Consider the following 19,205-nt stretch of genomic DNA (forward strand, 5'->3'; position numbering starts at 1 on the left):
CAATTAACAGCAAGTGTATGACAGAATCCAGGAAGTCAGATTGTAGAGTCCATGTTCTTAACTATTAATGCTTTTCAAAGGAAGGAAAACACAGACTTGTATTTTTCCACACCTTCAACTCCTAGAATTTAAACCGAAGGAGAGGCTACAAGAAATATAAAACATTGTGTGCGAGCTTCTCTGAAATGAATATGAGATTGCACATGTGCAGAAAAGAGTTAACAGAGCAGGCCTAAGAATGCTATCTTTAGAAATGCCTGCTTGCAAGGTTAGCCCCTGAATGGCACCTAAGCCGCTGGATTTTGGAAGGGTTCCTACCATTCACTGATGAACTTCTCTAATGGACAATATTTCACATGTGTCGTCACAACTTGCTCCTGGAGGAATTAAGTGCACCCTGTGTGGTTCCACTGGGAAAGGACCCTCGGAAGCTTACTTCTAGTTTCCTACACATTTTACCTGTGCACCTTTCCCCTTTGCTGATTTTTCTTTGTATCTTTTTTTTTTTTTTTTTTTTTTTTAAGACAGAGTCTCGCTCTGTGCCCAGGCTGGAGTGCAGTGACGTGATCTCGGCTCACTGCAAGCTCCGCCTCCTGGGTTCACGCCATTCGCCTGCCTCAGCCTCCCAAGTAGCTGGGACTACAGGTGCCCGCCACCAGGCCTGGCTAATGTTTTGTATTTTTAGTACAGATGGGGTTTCACCGTGTTAGCCAGAATGGTCCCGATCTCCTGACCTCATGATCTGCCCACCTTGGCCTCCCAAAGTGGTGGGATTCCAGGCATGAGCCACCGTGCCCAGCTGTATCCTTTCTTATAATAAACCATAGTTGTGTGTATGACTACATGATGAGTCCTGTGGATCCTCCTGCACATCACCATACCTGTGGATGGATCTAGGGGACCCCAACACAGTATGAATTGCTGCCTTTTTCCTTTTTCTTTTTTAAGAGATAGTGCCTAGCCATGTTACCCAGGCTGGTCTCTAACTCCTGGCCTGAAGCAATCCGCCTGCCTCAGCCTCCCAAGTAGCTCAGATTATAGGCCTGAGTCACACCTGGCTCTCTACTATTTTAGAAGGAAAAAAATTCAGCTCTCCCTCTCCCTCTCCCTCCTCCCTCTCCGTCTCCCTCTTTGCACGGTCTCCCTCTGATGCCCAGCCGAGGCTGGACTGTACTGCCGCCATCTCGACTCACTGCAACCTCCCTGCCTGATTCTCCTGCCTCAGCCTGCCGAGTGCCTGGGATTGCAGGCGCGCGCCGCCACGCCTGACTGGTTTTCGTATTTTTTGGTGGAGACGGGGTTTCCCCGTGTTGGCCGGGCTGGTCTCCAGCTCCTGACCGCGAGTGATCTGCCAGCCTCGGCCTCCCGAGGTGCCGGGACTGCAGACAGAGTGTCGCTCATTCAGTGCTCAATGTTGCCCAGGCTGGAGCGCAGTGGCGTGATCTCGGCTCGCTACAACCTCCACCTCCCAGCCGCCTGCCTTGGCTTCCCAAAGTGCCGAGATTGCAGCCTCTGCCCGGCCGCCACCCCATCTAGGAAGTGAGGAGCGTCTCTGCCTGGCCACCCATCGTCTGGGATGTGAGGAGACCCTCTGCCCGGCTGCCCAGTCTGGGAAGTGTGGAGCGCCTCTTCCCGGCCGTCATCCCGTCTAGGAAGTGAGGAGCGTCTCTGCCCGGCCGCCCATCATCTGGGATGTGGGGAGCGCCTCTGCCCCGCCGCCCCGTCTGAGATGTGAAGAGTGCCTCTGCCCGGCCGCGACCCCGTCTGGGAACTGAGGAGTGTCTCTGCCCCGCCGCCACCCCGTCTGGGAGGTGAGGAGCGTCTCTGACCGGCTGCCCCGTCTGAGAAGTGAGGAGCCCCTCCGCCCGGCAGCCACCCCGTCTGGGAAGTGAGGAGCCCCTCTGCCCAGCCGCCACCCCGTCTGGGAGGTATACCCAACAGCTCATTGAGAACGGGCCACGATGACGATGGCAGTTTGGTCGAACAGAAAAGGGGGAAATGTGGGGAAAAGAAAGAGAGATCAGATTGTTGCTGTGTCTGTGTAGAAAGAAGTAGACATAGGAGACTCCATTTTGTTCTGTACTAAGAAAAATTCTTCTGCCTTGGGATGTTGTTAATCTATAACCTTACCCCCAACCCCGTGCTCTCTGAAACATGTGCTGTGTCCACTAAGGGTTAAATGGATTAAGGGTGGTGCAAGATGTGCTTTGTTAAACAGATGCTTGAAGGCAGCATGCTTGTTAAGAGTCATCACCACTCCCTAATCTCAAGTACCCAGGGACACAAACACTGCGGAAGGCAGCAGGGCCCACTGCCTAGGAAAACCAGAGACCTTTGTTCACATGTTTATCTGCTGACCTTCCCTCCACTATTGTCCTATGACCTTGCCAAATCCCCCTCTCCGAGAAACACCCAAGAATGATCAATAAATACTAAAAAAATTAAAAAAAAAAAAATTCGAAAAAAAAATTCAGCTAATCCATGCTTGCCATTTCAGTTCATAAAGTTCACCTCTTACCCACTTACAGAGGATATATCACATCACAATTATGACCCAACACCAGAAGAGTTGAAAAAATGAGAAAAAAATTTCATATTCTTTTTTACCTGAATCCTTTAAAAAAATTTCATATTCTTATAGGTAATAACAGTCCTTATTCTGAAACCGCATGTTATAACTAAAAGGGCACAGTGCAGACTCAAGCAATCTTTATCACTTAATGTCATTTTTACAGTTATCAACGTCATCCTCAGAAGGAATCTTTGAGGGCTGGGCACAGTGGCTCATGCCTGTAATCCCAGCACTTTGGGAGGCTGAGGAGGGTGGATCCTGAGGTCACAAGATTGAGACCATCCTGGCTAACATGGTGAAACACCGTTGGAACAGAAATTAAAAGAAATTAAAGAATGTGTAAGCAAAAACTCAGTTGTATGTAAGAAAACCCAATTCCCCCTGAGGAAGAGAAAGAGCTGGAGTCCTTTAAAATTAACTGCCTGTTTTTCCCTCTGTGGCTAGTGAGCCTTATCTCTCCACTTCCCAGGCATTGTGAAGACCCTGTTTCTCTAGCTGTGCAGCTGCAAGGTCACTAGACAGATAATCTCAAGTCGTAAAACATGTTGTTCCTTAAAAAGTAAGAAATGATGTAATGCATGTCTTAACTGAATAACTGTCTTTGTTTCTTGCTTCTGTAATACGCTTCCCCCTGCACAGATCTACCCCCACCCCACGAAATGCTTAAAAGGTAGCTTGACTTTTTGTTCAAGGCTCAGTCCTTTGGATGTTAATCTGACTGGGTTGATGCACCTAAACAATTAAATAATTCCTCCTCAACCCCTCCGGTCTCTCTGATTCCTTAATTATCCCGCTGCAGTGTCTCTACTAAAAATGCAAAAAATTAGCCAGGCATGGTGGCACGTGCTGTAGTCCTAGCTACTTGGGAGGCTGAGGCAGGGGAATAGTTTGAACCCAGGAGGCGGAGGTTGCAGTGAGCCGAGATCATGCCACTGCACTCCAGCCTGGGCAACAGAGTGAGACTCCGTCTCAAAAAAAAAAAAAAAAAAAAAAGAAGGAATCTTTGAGAAACAACTCACTTCACAGTAGCTCTTGGAAAACACAGTCTTTGTCTTAGAAACATAGATGTTCCTTTTTCAAGTGGTACCGCTAAGTAAGTACATATGGTTTTGCTCTAAGAGGGAGTACTGTCAATCTTGCTAACTGAATTTCACATTATGCAAACAGTGGATTCCAGCTTGTTAAACCATTAATCACAAACTTTGTTTCAATAGGGAAGGAAGAGAATCAGTATAAAAGGGGAAACAGGCTGGGTGCAGTGGCTCATGCCTGTAATCCTAATACTTCGTGAGGCTAAGGGGAGAGAATTGCTTGAGGCCAGAAGTACAAAACCAGCCTGGTCAACAAAGTGAGTCCCCATCTCTACAAAAGAAAACAACATGCGTGTAGTCCCAGCTACTCAGGAGCTGAGGAAGAGGATCAATCGTTTAGGCCCAGGAGTTTGGGACTGCCATTATCATCCCACCGTATTCCAGCCTAGGCAACAGAGTGAGAGCCTGTCAGAGGGGGGAGGGGAGGGGAAGGGAGGGGGACTAGAATAAAATAGAGGAACCAAGAACATTTGCTTAAATTATTGGTAACTTGGCTGTAAGCACTGCAAATACATGGAAATAATATGGTCCTAACAACACAATTGTTTTTGTAGGTTAATATATGTTTGATGAAATGACATAATATGTAACTTAAAATCTAAACAAACCAAATGTTGTATATTTATTAAACTGCACTTTTAAAAATAGCTAATACACAGAAACTCAAAAGACACACACAAATTTAAAAGACAAAGAAAGGCTGAGCAACAAAATAAGCAGTGAGGGTAACAATATAATTCAGACTAAAACAAATATCCATGAGTCTATACTACACTAACTATAAATAGAACAGATGGGAAAGCTCTACCTTACAGCAGAATTACAATTAATGAAAGTAGAAGGTTGGGGGCGGTGGCTCACACCTATAATCCCAGCAGTCTGGGAGGCCAAGGTGGGTAAATTACGAGGTGAGGAGTTTGAGACAAGCCTGGCCAACATGGTGAAACCCCATCTCTACTAAAAATACAAAAATTAGCCCAGTGTGGTGGCGCACGCCTGTAATCCCAGCTACTCAGGAGGCCGAGGCAGGAGAATCACTTGAACCTGGGAGGCAGAGGTTGCAGTGAGCCGAGATTGCACCATTGCACTCCAGCCTGGGCGACAGTGTGAGACACCATCTCAAAAAAAAAAAAGAAAAGAAAAAGAAAGTAGAAAGAATTGAGCAGACAGAAACCACCATAGTAGCAAACTCCACAATGCTAACCTTCATATAACATCATGGATGTTAAAAATAATAAACGACCTCTCCCTCTCCCTCCTCTCCCTCCTCTCCCTCTCCCTCTCCCCACGGTCTTCCTCTCCCTCTCTTTCCACCGTCTCCCTCTGATGCTGAGCCGAAGCTGGACTGTACTGCTGCCATCTCGGCTCACTGCAACCTCCCTGCCTGATTCTCCTGCCTCAGCCTGCCGAGTGCCTGGGATTGCAGGCGCGCGCCGCCACGCCTGACTGGTTTTCGTATTTTTCTGGTGGAGACGGGGTTTCGCTGTGTTGGCCGGGCTGGTCTCCAGCTCCTAACCACGAGTGATCCGCCAGCCTCGGCCTCCCAAGGTGCCGGGATTGCAGACGGAGTCTCGTTCACTCAGTGCTCAATGGTGCCCAGGCTGGAGTGCAGTGGTGTGATCTCGGCTCGCTACAACCTCCACCTCCCAGCCGCCTGCCTTGGCTTCCCAAAGTGCCGAGATTGCAGCCTCTGCCCGGCCGCCACCCCATCTGGGAAGTGAGGAGCGTCTCTGCCTGGCAGCCCATCGTCTGGGATGTGAGGAGCCCCTCTGCCTGGCTGCCCAGTCTGGAAAGTGAGGAGCGTCTCTGCCCGGCCGCCCATCGTCTGAGATGTGGGGAGCGCCTCTGCCCCGCCGCCCCGTCTGGGATGTGAGGAGCGCCTCTGCCCGGCCGCGACCCCGTCTGGGAGGTGAGGAGCGTCTCTGCCCGGCCGCCCCGTCTGAGAAATGAGGAGACCCTCTGCCTGGCAACCGCCCCGTCTGAGAAGTGAGGAGCCCCTCCGCCCGGCAGTTGCCCCGTCTGAGAAGGGAGGAGCGTCTCCGACGGGCAGCCACCCCATCCGGGAGGGAGGTGGGGGTCAGCCCCCGCCAGGCCAGCTGCCCCGTCCAGGAGGGAGGTGGGGGGTCAGCCCCCGCCAGGCCAGCCGCCCCGTCCAGGAGGGAGGAGGGGGTCAGGCCCCGCCCGGCCAGCCACCCTATCCGGGAGGGAGGTGGGGGGGTCAGCCCCCCGCCCGGCCAGCTGCCCCGTCCGGGAGGTGAGGGGCGCCTCTGCCCGGCCGCCCCTACTGGGAAGTGAGGAGCCCCTCTGCCCGGCCACCACCCCGTCTGGGAGCTGTACCCAACAGCTCATTGAGAACGGGCCATGATGACAATGGCGCTTTTGTGGAATAGAAAGGGGGGAAAGGTGGGGAAAAGATTGAGAAATCGGATGGTTGCCGTGTCTGTGTAGAAGGAAGTAGACATGGGAGACTTTTCATTTTGTTCTGTACTAAGAAAAGTTCTTCTGCCTTGGGATCCTGTTGATCTGTGACCTTACCCCCAACCCTGTGCTCTCTGAAACATGTGCTGTGTCCACTCAGGGTTAAATGGATTAAGGGTGGTGCAAGATGTTTTTGTTAAACAGATGCTTGAAGGCAGCATGCTCATTAAGAGTCATCACCACTCCCTAATCTCAAGTACCCAGGGACACAAACACTGCGGAAGGCCGCAGGGTCCTCTGCCTAGGAAAACCAGAGACCTTTGTTCACTTGTTTATCTGCTGACCTTCCCTCCACTATTGTCCTATGACCCTGCCAAATCCCCCTCTGCGAGAAACACCAGAATGATCAATAAAAAATAATAATAATAATAATAAACGAAAAAAGTCACAATGTATAATGTAGTCTCAATGTAGTTCTAGCCAAAATAAATTTATTAACTACAAAGAACATAATTCTGCAGTGGATAAGCTAAAAGACACTACCTTAACTAAGTGACCAAAATTAATATCACCAGTAACAAGCATTAATTGACATCATGTACCTCTTGTTGATACATGGACAAGGATACACCACCATTTCTACAGTATACTTGTCAAACTGCATAACTTGAATTTAATTATGAGAAAACAAGAGTAAACATCAGACAAAGCCAAATCGAGGATATTCTATTTTAAAACTGACCAATATTCTTTAAAATTATCAACCCTGGGTAAAACAGCTCATGCCTGTAATTCCAGTACTTTGGGAGGCTGAGGTGGACAGATCATTCAAGGTCAGGAGTTTGAGCCCAGCCTGGCCAACATCGTGAATCCCTGTCTCTACCAAAAAATACAAAAACTAGCCAAGTGTGGTGGTGCACACCTGTAGCCCCAGCCACTCAGGAGGACGAGGCAGGAGAATCGCTTGAACCTGGGAGGCGGAGGTTACAGTGAGCCGAGATCATGCCACTGCACTCCAACCTGGGAGACAGTGAGACCCTGTCTCAAAAAAAAAAAAAAAAAAAAAGACCAGCCTAGGCAACACAGTGAGACCCCATCTGCCCCATCTGTATAAAAAAAATAAGAAAATTAGCCAGGCCATAGTTTAAGAGTAGCCTGGGTAACATAGCAATACCCCATCTCTATGAAAATTTAAAAATTAGGCAGGTGTGGTGGCATGTACCTGAGTCCCAGCTACTTAAGAGGCTGAGATGGAAGGATCACTTCAGGCTGAGAGGTCAAAGCTGCAGTGAGCTGTGTTTGCACCACTGCAGTCCAGCTTGAGTGACAGCAGGAGACTTTTCTGTATTCAGCAGGAAATCCTGCTGTATTTCCTGCTTCCCTGTTGAAGCTGTGGATAAAATCCTGTTCTTAGAAGAGCAAGGAGGCATAACAATTCAATGTAACGTGCAATCCTGGACTGAATCCTGGGCCAAAAAAAGAATACTACCGTACAGTTGAAGAATTTGAATAAGGTTTGTAGATTAGTTCACAGAACTTTTTTTTTTTTTGAGTCTTGCTCTGTCACCAGGCTGGAGTGCAGTGGCACGTGATCTCAGCTCACTGCAACCTCCACCTGCAGGGTTCGATTCCCCTGTCTCAGCCTCCCGAGTAGCTGGGACTACAGGCGCGCACCACCACACCTGGCTAATTTTTTTTTTGTATTTTAGTAGAGACAGGGTTTCATCATGTTGGCCAGGATGGTCTTGATCTCCTGACCTCGTGATCCGCCCGTCTCAGCCTCCCAAAGTGCTGGGATTACAGGCATGAGCCACCGTAACTGGATTTTTTTTTTTTGAAATGCAGTCTCGCTTTGTCGCCCAGGCTGAAGCGCAATGGCGCTCACTGCAACCTCTGCCTCCCAAGGTTCAAGTGATTCTCCTGCTTCAGCTTCCCAAGTAGCTGGGATGCCCGCTGCCACCATGCCCAGCTAATTCCTGGGGTTTTTGTTTGTTTGAGATGGAGTCTCGCTCTGTTGTGAGGCTGGAGCGCGGTGGCGCGATCTTGGCTCACTGCAACCTCTGCCTCCCGGGTTCAAGCGATTCTCCTGCCTCAGCCTCCCGAGTGGCTGGGATTACAGGCATGTGCCACCATGCCAGGCTAATTTTTGTATTTTTAGTAGAGATGGGGTTTCACCATGTTGGCCAGGCTGGTCTCAATCTCCCGACCTTGGGATCCGCCCACCTCGGCCTCCCAAAGTGCTAGGATCACAGGCGTGAGCCACCGCGCCCGACTAATTTCTGTATTTTTAGTAGAGACGAGGTTTCACCATGTTGGCCAGGCTGGTCTCCAACTCCTGACCTCAAGTGATCCGCCTGCCTTGGCCTCCCAAAGTGCTAGGATTATAGGTGTGAGCCACTGTGCCCATCCAACAGTCCTGTTTCAATGTTAATTTCCTGATTTTGATAACTGATATTATTGAGATGTAAGATGTTAATATTAATTGAGAAAGCTGGAGTATAAATTCTCTATCCTATTTTTAGAACTTTTTGTTTAAGTATGACACTATTTCAAAATGAAAACTTAAAAATAAGAACATCTAAAAAAAAAAGATACATAAAAGCCTAATAAAAAGTCAGTTTTTCTCATCTTCCTACTACCCAGTTATCCTTCCCAGAGGCATCTACTGTTCCAGTCATAAAAACCACATATTTGAAAGTAATTTTGAACCATTACTTAAAACTTTTAAAGATATATTAAACTCAATGAATTTTTTAAAATTACAAATGCCCCAAAGTGAATTTATTAAAATTTGTGCTGACCAATTGTTTTCTATCTAGTATAATGTCAAAGATGCCTCTATGCTATTTGGCTTTAATTGTTTAAACAAAGTTTTGCTTTTTTTTTTTTTTTGTAACATGGCAAGGTTTCATCATGGGGTTTAAACAAAATTTCAAAATTTCAAGCAACTACTTTACATACATAAACCAATGTTTTGTATAGTTAAATACATTCATAAGTATTAAGTGTTTTGTGGTGTCAAATCTGTTTCCTTCCTTTCCAGGATACTAATTTCATTTGGCCTCCAATTTAGGAAGGACTTGTTTCCAACATTAAGTTCAGAATTGGTTGTTTGGAATTCAAGTTCATTTTCCCATAGAAATCATGTAATAAATGATAGTTAGATTCCCTGATTAGCTTAGAAAGGAACCAATTTAACCTATAATGTATATAAGAGTTATTCCAATATAACACATATAAATCCAAATCAAGCTCTCAATGATAAAAATGTTGCTATAGATAAAATACCTCCAGTGTCCCAACTTGAGAAAACAGTCACATATCTTCTTTCAGATGAGAGGCAGAGGTCATGCTGGAAAATCATTACATAACTCTACACTGTAGTCAATGTTGAAGACTGAAGAGTACAGGCCGAATTAAGGAGAGAGGGTTCATATGTGACTGTGTATATATATGGTACCTACAGGACTGTTTACATATGTTCATATACTCCTTCTCCCATATACTTCCTCACTCCATCACTATTAGGCTTGGACATGTGACTCGCTTCAGGCAATGGAATCTAAGTAGAAATGTAAGCTGTATCAAAGATCACTTAGGTGAACTGGCTTGGTATCTTGTGCACCTGCCCTCAGCCTTGGAGAAAAAAACCACTGAGATTTACGACTTGTTTGTGATAGCCAAGTCTGGTTGATTTAGAAGTTTCTCCTCATCGAACTTCACTTGTAATGTCATCTGTATGGTAACTACACACCTTATAGCTCATCAACATGTAGTAGAGTGAGGTCAGAAATGATGACAAAAGCAAGAAAGAGCACAAGTAGGCAATGCTGCAGTCTAAAGAATTTCAGGAAATGTTATCTCTTGGATGGATTTACTGAACAGCCTTCCTATTGCTCCCCACTCCTATCCCGCAATTTGGTCTTTGCATGGTAGTCAGACTAATTATTTAAAAACAGAAACCAGTTTATATATTTATGTTATACCCCTGTCTGATCATGAGGGGTTTTGTAGGCCATGGTATGGAATTTTGAGTTTCATGGTGAAAACAAAGAACTCTAGAAGTAATAAAAAATAAAAATGTAGACCATAACACAGTAGGGCCAGTTACCAGAGTCAAGTAATTTTCCTAAATCTTAGTAAACCTCAAGTGAGCTACTGTAGGCCGGGTACAGTGGCTCAAGTCTGTAATCCCAGCACCCTGAGAGGCTGATGTGGGAGGACTGCTTGAGCTCAGCAGTTCAAGACTATTCTGGGCAACACAGTGAGACCACCTCTCTCTACATAAAATTGAAAAAAAAAAAAAAAATTGGGGCTGGGCACCGTGGCTCACGCCTGTAATCCCAGCACTTTGGGAGGCCAAAGTAGGCAGATCACGAGGTCAGGAGATCAAGACCATCCTGGCTAACACAGTGAAATCCCGTCTCTACTAAAAAATACAAAAAAATTAGCCAGGCATGGTGGCGGGCGCCTGTAGTCCCAGCGACTCGGGAGGCTGAGGCAGGAGAATGGCGTGAACCCAGGAGGCAGAGCTTGCAGTGAGCTGAGATTGCGCCACTGCACTCCAGCCTGGGCGACAGAGAGAGACCCCGTCTCAAAAAAACAAAAAAAATTAGCCAGACATGGTGACATGTGCCTGTAGTCCCAGCTACTCAGGAGGCTGAGGTGGGAGGACTGCTTGAGCCTGGGAGGTTGAGGCTGCAGTAAGCCGTGATTGCGCCACTGCACTCCAGCCTGGATGACAGAGCAAGACCCTGTCTCAAAACCAAACAAACAAAAAACCTACGTTACTGTATATACAAGAATAAAGAAAAGGGAAAATATGTACATAAAATCATATCATAAGTACAAGTTGGAATGGAAAAAATTGGTACTAAATTTTGAAATATCTTGATTGACATCTAAAAAATGCAGAGTAAGATTGTTCAAAGCAATCAAATTTAAAAATTCAGATACAGATACTATACATATATGAAAATTAGCAAAAAGTTAAAAAATTTTAAACAGGCAAATATGACATACACATAAAAAAACCCATAAAATTAGCATTCAGACTTACCGTAACAGGAGTTCTTTGGGAAGTTTTTTATTGATTACAGCTTCATCACTATTTGAGAACATCTGCAAAAACAAAATCATAGTGTCAAGTGTTACTTAACATTTTATTACAGAATGTTCAACTCAATAGTTTAGAGGCAATTCTCTCAGGAAAGAGGTAAAAAAATATAGTCGGCATCATAAACCAAAGTCATAATTTTGGAAACTCTTTAAGATGAAAAAGATCTTCGAGGCATTTAATTCATTCCCTGTCTCCAAAGAAAAACAAGAGCAGTCAGAAGGATACATTACGTGCCAGATACTGTTTCAGATGTTTTCACATATTAATGGTTTTAATCTTCATACCATCCCTATTATCTTCACTTTATAGATAGGAAGCTTGGTTACCAAAGGTCTACTGCTCAGAGTCCGGGCGCAGCAACTCACACTTGTAATTCCAGCACTTTCAGAGGCTGAGGCAAGCGGATCGCTTGAGCTCAGGAGTTCAAGACCAGCCCAGGCAACGTGGCGAAAACTCTTTTTTTTTTTTTTTTTTGAGACAGAGTCTTGCTCTGCTGCCCAGTCTGGAGTACAGTGGCATGATCTCAGCTCACTGCAACCTCCACTTCCCAGGTTCAAGCGATTCTCCTGCTTCAGTCTCCTGGGTAGCTGAGGTTACAGGTGCATGCCACCATGCCCGGCTAATTTTTGTTTGTTTGTTTTTGAGACAGAGTCTCACTCTGTCGCCCAGGCTGGAGTGCAGTGGTGCGATCTCGGCTCACCACAACTTCTGCCACCTAGGTTCAAGCAATTCTCCTGCTTCAGCCTCCCAAGTAGCTGGGATTACAGGTCCCTGCCACGGTGCCCAGCTAATTTTTGTATTTTTAGTAGAGGTGGAGTTTCACCAACTTGGTCAGGCTGGTCTTGAACTCCTGACCTCGTGATCCACCCGCCTTGGCCTCCCAAAGTGCTGGGATTGCAGGCATGAGCCACCATACCTGGCCAACATGGCGGAACTCTGTCGCTACCAAAAAACACAAAAAATGAACCAGGCGTGGTGGTGTGCGTCTGTGGTCCTAGCTACGTGGGAGGCTGAGGTGGGAGGACTGCCTCAGTCAGGGAAGTGGAGGTTGCAGTGAGCTGAGATCACACCACTGCACTCCAGCCTCAGCGAGACAGTGAGAACCCCTCTCCAAAAAAAAAAAAAAAGGTTTACTGCTCAGCTCACATCACTATGGAGTGACTATTTTAATATGCCATTAAGAGAAGATGACTCCCCAAACTTGGCTCACATTTACTTGCTCAAGGAGATGTTCGGAAATCTGGAATAGAAAATATTCACTTTTGGCCAGGCACAGTGGCTCACACTTGTAATCCCAGCACTTTGGCAGGCTGAGGTGGGTGGATCACCTGAGGTGAGGAGTTCGAGACCAGCCTGGCCAACATGGCGAAACCCCATCTCTACTAAAAATACAAAAAAAAGTACGCAGGTGTGGTGGCACACACCTGTAGTACCAGCTACTCAGAAGACTGAGGCATGAGAATCACTTGAACCCCAGGCTGCAGAGCTTGCAGTGAGCCAAGATGGCGCCCCTACACCCCAGCCTGGGTGACACAGCAATACTCTATCTCAATAAAAATAAAAATTAAAAAAGGAAAATATTCTCTTTCATGTTTATATATTGTGCAGAAAACCAACAGTGCTTCATAACTGCCACCATAGTGGCATCAAGTGCATCACTTGATGCACTCAAGTGATCATTTAACAAATTAATCAAATTACTCACAACGGATACTTTTAACGAGAGCCACCATTTTTGCCACAAAGGAGATCATGACTGTAAGCTTATCTAGCAAGCTATGTAAAAAACCAAATACCATACACAATCAAAAGCCCAGTAAAAATGGCACATACACATGTGACCGAAGCTGAGAGAAATACGTTCCGTCGCTGCTATTAAGTATTGCAGAAATTCCTCTTAAGGTCATGCAATAAACATTACTGAATACCCAATCAGGCACTTTTCTAGACAATGGGATAAAAAAAGACACGATCTCTATCCTTAAGGAGCTCTTGCACTACAATGAAGAAAACAGAAGAAAGCAAATAATGTACTAATTACTAGAGACAGATGACAAGAGATGTAAGAGAGAACAAAGAATGGCACAACTAATTCTACCCGGAGTTGTATCTAAATTGAGCTTAAAAGAAGGCCAAAAATTAGCTGGGAAAAAAAGATAACAATATGTACAAAATAATGGAGTCATACATGAAGATCCTGGTATCTCATGGAGATTCAAAGTAGAGGTAATGAAGAGAAAGCAGAAATGGTAGGGAAGTCACAGATAAAATGCACTGCCCCTCAATTTCATTTAAAGAATAATTTTAATAATTTTTTTTTTGAGAGAGTTTTGCTCTATTGCCCAAGCTGGAGTGCAATAGCACAATCTCAGATCACTGCAACCTCCACCTCCCGGGTTCAAGCGATTCTCCTGCCTCAGCCTCCTGAGTAGCTGGGATTATGGGCGCCTGCCACCACACTTGCCTGATTTTTATATTTTTAGTAGAGACAGGGTTTCACCATGTTGGCCAGGCTGGTCTCAAACTCCTGAGCTCAACGGATCCTCCCAACTCAGTGTCCCAAAGTGCTAAGATTACAGGTGTGAGCTACCACACCTGGCCTAAATATTTTCTGATTACAATAACCTACGTTCCAGATAAATGGAAAGCCCTGTGAGGGCAGGGAGCATGCCTGTTATGTTTGGCATAATTTTAGGGTTGTGCACAGAGCCTGCTACATGGCAGGAAATCAATAAATCTACCTCTGGGCAACATGGTGAAATCCTGTCTCTACAAAAAACACAAAAATTAACCAGGCATTGGCTGGGAGTGGTAGCTCATGCCTGTAAGCCCAGCACTTTGGGAGGCCAAGGTGGGAGGATGGCTTGAGCTCAGGAGTTCAAGACCAGCCTGGGCAATATAGTGAGATCTCATCTTGAAAAAAGATGTAAAAAGATTTATAAATAATAAATCAGATGTGATGGTGTACACCTGTAGTCCCAGCTATTTGGTGGGGGGGTGCTGGGGTGGGAGGATCACTTGTGCCCAGGAAGTCAAGGATGCAGTGGAGCATGTTCACACCACTGCACTCCAGACTGGGCGACAGAGTGAGATCCTGTCTCAAAAAAAAAAGATAATCATCATAATGAATGGTTTATTAAATGGATGGTGGGGCTACACCATGAAGGAAACCTGTATACAGTTTAGAAATGCGAAACACCACCACAGGGAAGAGAATCCTAAAGACACCGAACTCTGGACTAGTAGGAAGGAAATAAAGTTAGGAATCCATTAAAATTATGGTCCAAGTAAAAGATGACGCAGTTGTCTGTAAGATTAACAGGGACAGTGAAATGAAAAGAAACTGGAACAAAGATTGTTAAAAAAGCAACAATACTTAGTAACAAAAAGTTGAATCATTTAGCAGGTTTCAGTGCAACAAACAGACTACTAGAAATGCTAATGACTGACAATTACTTTTTTTTTTATTATACTTTAAGTTCTAGGGTACATGTGCACAACATGCAGGTTTATTACATATGTATACATGTGCCATGTTGGTGTGCTGCACCCGTTAACTCGTCATTTACATTAGGTATATCTCCTAATGCTATCTCTCCCCCCTCCCCCCACCCCACAACAGGTCCCGGTGTGTGATGTTCCCCACCCTGTGTCCAAGTGTTCTCATTGTTCAATTCCCATCTATGAGTGAGAACATGTGGTGTTTGGTTTTCTGTCCTTGCAAGTTTGCTCGGAATGATGGTTTCCAGCTTCATCCATGTCCCTACAAAGGACATGAACTCATCCTTTTTTATGGCTGCATAGTATTCCATGGTGTGTATGTGCCACATTTTCTTAATCCAGTCTGTCATTGATGGACGTTTGGGTTGGTTCCAAGTCCTTGCTATTGTGAATAGTGCTGCAATAAACATACATGTGCATGTGTCTTTATAGCAGCATGATTTATAATCCTTTGGGTATATACCCAGTAATGGGATCGCTGGGTCAAATGGTTATTTCTAGTTGTAGATCCTTGAGGAATCGCCACACTGTCTTCCACAATGGTTGAACTAGTTTACAGTCCCACCAACAGTGTAAAAGTGTTTCTATTTCTCCACACTCTCCAGCACCTGTTGTTTCCCGACTTTTTAATGATCGCCATTCTAACTGGTGTGAGATGGTATCTCATTATGGTTTTGATTTGCATTTCTCTGATGGCCAGTGATGATGAGCATTTTTTCATGTGTCTGTTGGCTGCATAAATGTCTTCTTTTGAGAAGTGTCTGTTCATATCCTTTGCCCACTTTTTGATGGGGTTGTTTGATTTTTTCTTGTAAATTTGTTTAAGTTCTTTGTAGATTCTGGATATTAGTCCTTTGTCAGATGGGAAGATTGTAAAAATTTTCTCCCATTCTGTAGGTTGCCTGTTTACTCTGATGGCAGTTTCTTTTGCTGTGCAGAAGCTCTTTAGTTTAATTAGATGCCATTGGTCAATTTTGGCTTTTGTTGCCATTGCTTTTGGTGTTTTAGTCATGGAGTCCTTGCCCACCCCTATGTTCTGAATGGTATTGCTTAGGTTTTCTTCTAGAGTTTTTTATGGTTTTAGGTCTAACATTTAAGTCTTTAATCCATCTTGAATTAATTTTTGTATAAGGTGTAAGGAAGGGATCCAGTTTCAGCTTTCTACATATGGCAAGCCAGTTTTCCAAGCCCCATCTATTAAATAGGGAATCCTTTCTCCATTTCTTGATTTTGTCAGGTTTGACAATTACATTTTTTAGAAGAAAAAAAAAATCCAATCCCTCCTCAGAAGGCAGTCTTTCAAAACTAAACCATTACATTTCTCTCTAAACAAGGTTGGGTTCGTCTTTTTTTTTTTTTGGTAGAGAGAGAGTCTCGCAGGGCACATGTTCTCAGGATCTCCTGAGGGCTGTGTCACACACATACAAAAGATGATGTCTCGGCTGAGCGCGGTGGCTCACGCCTGTAATCCCAGCACTTTGGGAGTCCAAGGTGGGTGGATCACGAGGTCAAGAGATGGAGACCATCCTGGCCAACATGGTGAAACCCAGTCTCTACTAAAAATACAAAAATTAGCTGGGCATGGTGACGCACACCTGTAGTTCCAGCTACTTGGGAGGCTGAGGCAGGAGAATCCCTTGAACCTGGGAGCGGAGGTTGCAGTGAGCCGAGATCATGCTACTGCAGTCCAGCCTGGCGACAGAACGAGACTCCGTCTCAAAAAAAAGAAAAAAAAAAGATGGAGTCTCAGTATGTTGACCAGGCTGGTCTGAAACTCCTGGCCTCAAGCAATCTTCCTGCCTCAGCCTTCCAAAGTGTTGGGATTACATTTGTGAGCCACTGTGCCCAGTCAGGTTCTTCTAATGTTCTTAAATAACATGGTTTCAAAGATACTATGTCACTATGGTCATCATTCTCCAGATGCACTCATAGGCAGTAATTCACAAAGTTGTAATGTGTTTACATGTTCTTACTTTTGAGACAAGGTCTCACTCTGTTGCCCAGGTTGGAGTACAGTGGTCCTATCATAGACCACTGCAGCCTTGACCTCCGGACTCAATGCTCCCCCTTCGGCCTCCTGAGTAGCTAGGACTACAGAAACGTGTTACCACACCTGACTAATTTTTGTATCTATTGTAGAGATGGGGTCTCACTATGTTGCCCAATCTAGTCTTGAATGCCTGAGCTCAACAGATCCTCCTGCCTCAGCCTCTCAAATTGCTGGGATTAGGCCGGGCACAGCAGTTCATGCCTGTAATCCCAGCACTTTGGGAGGCTGAGGCGGGCAGATCACTTGAGGTCATGAGTTTGAAACCATCCTGGCCAACATGATGAAACCCCGTCTCTACTAAAAATACACAAATTAGCCAGGCATGGTGGCAGGCACCTGTAATCCCAGCTACTTGGGAGGCTGAAGCAGGAGAATCACTTGAACCCGGGAGACAGAGGTTGCAGTGAGCTGAGATCATGCCACTGCACTCCAGCCTGGGGAACAGAGCGGGACTCCGTCTCAAAATAAATAAGCAAATAAATAAAAATCGAGCCACCATACTCCAGCCTGGGCAACAGAGCAAGATTCCATCTCAAAAAAAAAAAAAAAAAAAAAAAAAAAAGGCTGGGATTACAGGTATTAAGTCACCATGCCTGGTCAGAATTTTCCATAGTGGTGTCATGTCAGCACTCAAAATCTTTCAGATTTTGGGCTGAGCAAGGTGACTCATGCCTATAATCCCGGCACCTTGGAAGGTTGAGGCAGGAGGATAGCTTGAGCCCAAGAGGTCAAGGATGCAGCAAGCAGTGTTTACACCACTGTACTCCAGCCTGGTAAAACAGTGAGACCCCACCTCTGGAAAAAAAAAATAAGAAAATTCCACACCTGACCTCTTGTGATAAGTCACAGTCAAGATGCAGTCAAGGCCAGGCGTAGTGGCTCACGCCTGTAATCCCAGCACTTTGGGAGGCTGAGGCAGGCAGATCACGAGGTCAGGAGATCGAGACCATCCTAGCTAACACGGTGAAACCCCATCTCTACTAAAAATACAAAAAATTAGCCGGGCATGGTGGCTAGCGCTTGTAGTCCCAGCTACTCAGGAGGCTGAGGCAGGAGAATGGCATGAACCCGGGAGGCGGAGCTTGCAGTGAGCAGAGATCGCGCCACTGCACTCCAGCCTGGGCTAAAGAGCGAGACTCCGTCTCAAAAAAAAAAAAAAAAGATGCAGTCAAAACTTTGTTTCATGCCCAAAAAATTATTTAAAATATTCTATCAAACACTCAATCTACTAGAACTATGTCCAACCCAAATCCACAAAAAGTAAAACTTAATCATTTTAATTTTAGAAAACAAAGTATTAAATGCCACATCTCACCTAATAAGGCACTATGTTCACTTCAATATACATAATAATGGAAAATAACAAAAAAACACATTATATGTTGTTCACATGACTTCTACAATTTCACATATAAAAACAAAGAAGCACCAGGCACAGTAGCTCATGCCTGTAACTTTGGGAGGCCAAGGCGGGCTGATCACCTGAGGCTGGGAGATCGAGACCAGCTGACCAACATGGAGAAACCCCATCTCTACTAAAAATACAAAATTAGCCAGGCATGGTGTTGCATGCCTATAATCCCAGCTACCTGGGAGGCAGAGGCAGAAGAATCGCTTGAACCTGGAAGGCAGAGGTTGCAGTGAGCTGAGATTGTGCCATGGCACTCCAGCCTGGGCAACAGAGCTAGACTCCTTCTCGAAAACAAAAACAAAAACAAAAAAAGAAGCAAAAAAAAAAAAAAAAACATAGCTAATTTCCTCCCTTGCTTTGGTCTATATAAACTGAGAATGCTGCTGCCTCTGTAGGAGCATTAAAGTGAAGGGAAAAAGAAACAGCACCCTGGAACCATTTGGGAAATGCCATTATGTGTAAGACATCTGTCCAGATTTATATTTCCCTCCCCTTTCTTCTGCACATAAGTCTCCTAACTCCAGGTTTGTAAGAAAGAACCAGATTAGTGGTTAAGAACGGATGGTCCCCTGAGCAGGAGTATCAGCATCAACCCGGAACTTACAAGAATTGAAAATTCATAGGATTTTCCCTAGACCTGTAGAATCAAAGACTGGGGGTAGGTGGGCAGGAGAGAAAATGGTGGGGCAATCTCTATTTTAACAAGACCTCTATGTGATACTGATGTACCCTAAAGTTTAAGAACCAATAGGTCAGATGAAGTAGATTCAGGATCTCAGGAAAAAATAACACATAACCAGAATATTATCACTTGAAGTGACACAGCAATAGACATTAGAAAATAATCCTAAAGCCAAGCATAGTGGCTCACGCCTGTAATCCCAGCACTTTGGGAGGCTGAGGTGGGCGGATCACATGAGGTCAGGAGTTCGAGATCAGCCTGGCTAACATGGTGAAACCCCATCTCTACTAAAAATACAAAAAATTAGCAGGGCATGGTGGTGTGCACCTGTAATCCCAGCTACTCGGGAGGCTGAGGCAGG

At 45.3% G+C, this 19,205-nt stretch overlaps 1 protein-coding gene across 6 annotated transcripts in view, besides 2 other annotated features; it reads right to left on the reverse strand.

Moving 5' to 3' along the window:
- FBXL20 (F-box and leucine rich repeat protein 20) overlaps window positions 1–19,205 on the reverse strand; it is a 149,894-nt gene that overhangs the window by 79,377 nt on the left and 51,312 nt on the right. For all 6 annotated transcript variants that reach the window (XM_047436952.1, NM_001370209.3, NM_001370208.3 and 3 more), the window contains exon 2: window positions 11,141–11,202. In XM_047436952.1, coding sequence (XP_047292908.1) covers window positions 11,141–11,202 — 62 coding nt within the window. The remainder of the gene's footprint in view (window positions 1–11,140; window positions 11,203–19,205) is intronic.
- Window positions 1,033–1,543: an enhancer, noted in NCBI's record as "H3K27ac hESC enhancer chr17:37489325-37489835 (GRCh37/hg19 assembly coordinates)". NCBI's record gives its function as "activates a minimal SCP1, AML or CMV promoter by ChIP-STARR-seq in primed H9 embryonic stem cells {active_cell/tissue: H9 hESC(primed)}" and the evidence as "EXISTENCE:reporter gene assay evidence [ECO:0000049][PMID:30033119]".
- Window positions 5,203–5,960: an enhancer, noted in NCBI's record as "H3K27ac hESC enhancer chr17:37493495-37494252 (GRCh37/hg19 assembly coordinates)". NCBI's record gives its function as "activates a minimal SCP1, AML or CMV promoter by ChIP-STARR-seq in primed H9 embryonic stem cells {active_cell/tissue: H9 hESC(primed)}" and the evidence as "EXISTENCE:reporter gene assay evidence [ECO:0000049][PMID:30033119]".

This window comes from Homo sapiens, chromosome 17 (assembly GCF_000001405.40).
Source record: "Homo sapiens chromosome 17, GRCh38.p14 Primary Assembly".
In the NCBI taxonomy this organism is placed as follows: Eukaryota; Metazoa; Chordata; class Mammalia; order Primates; family Hominidae; genus Homo; species Homo sapiens.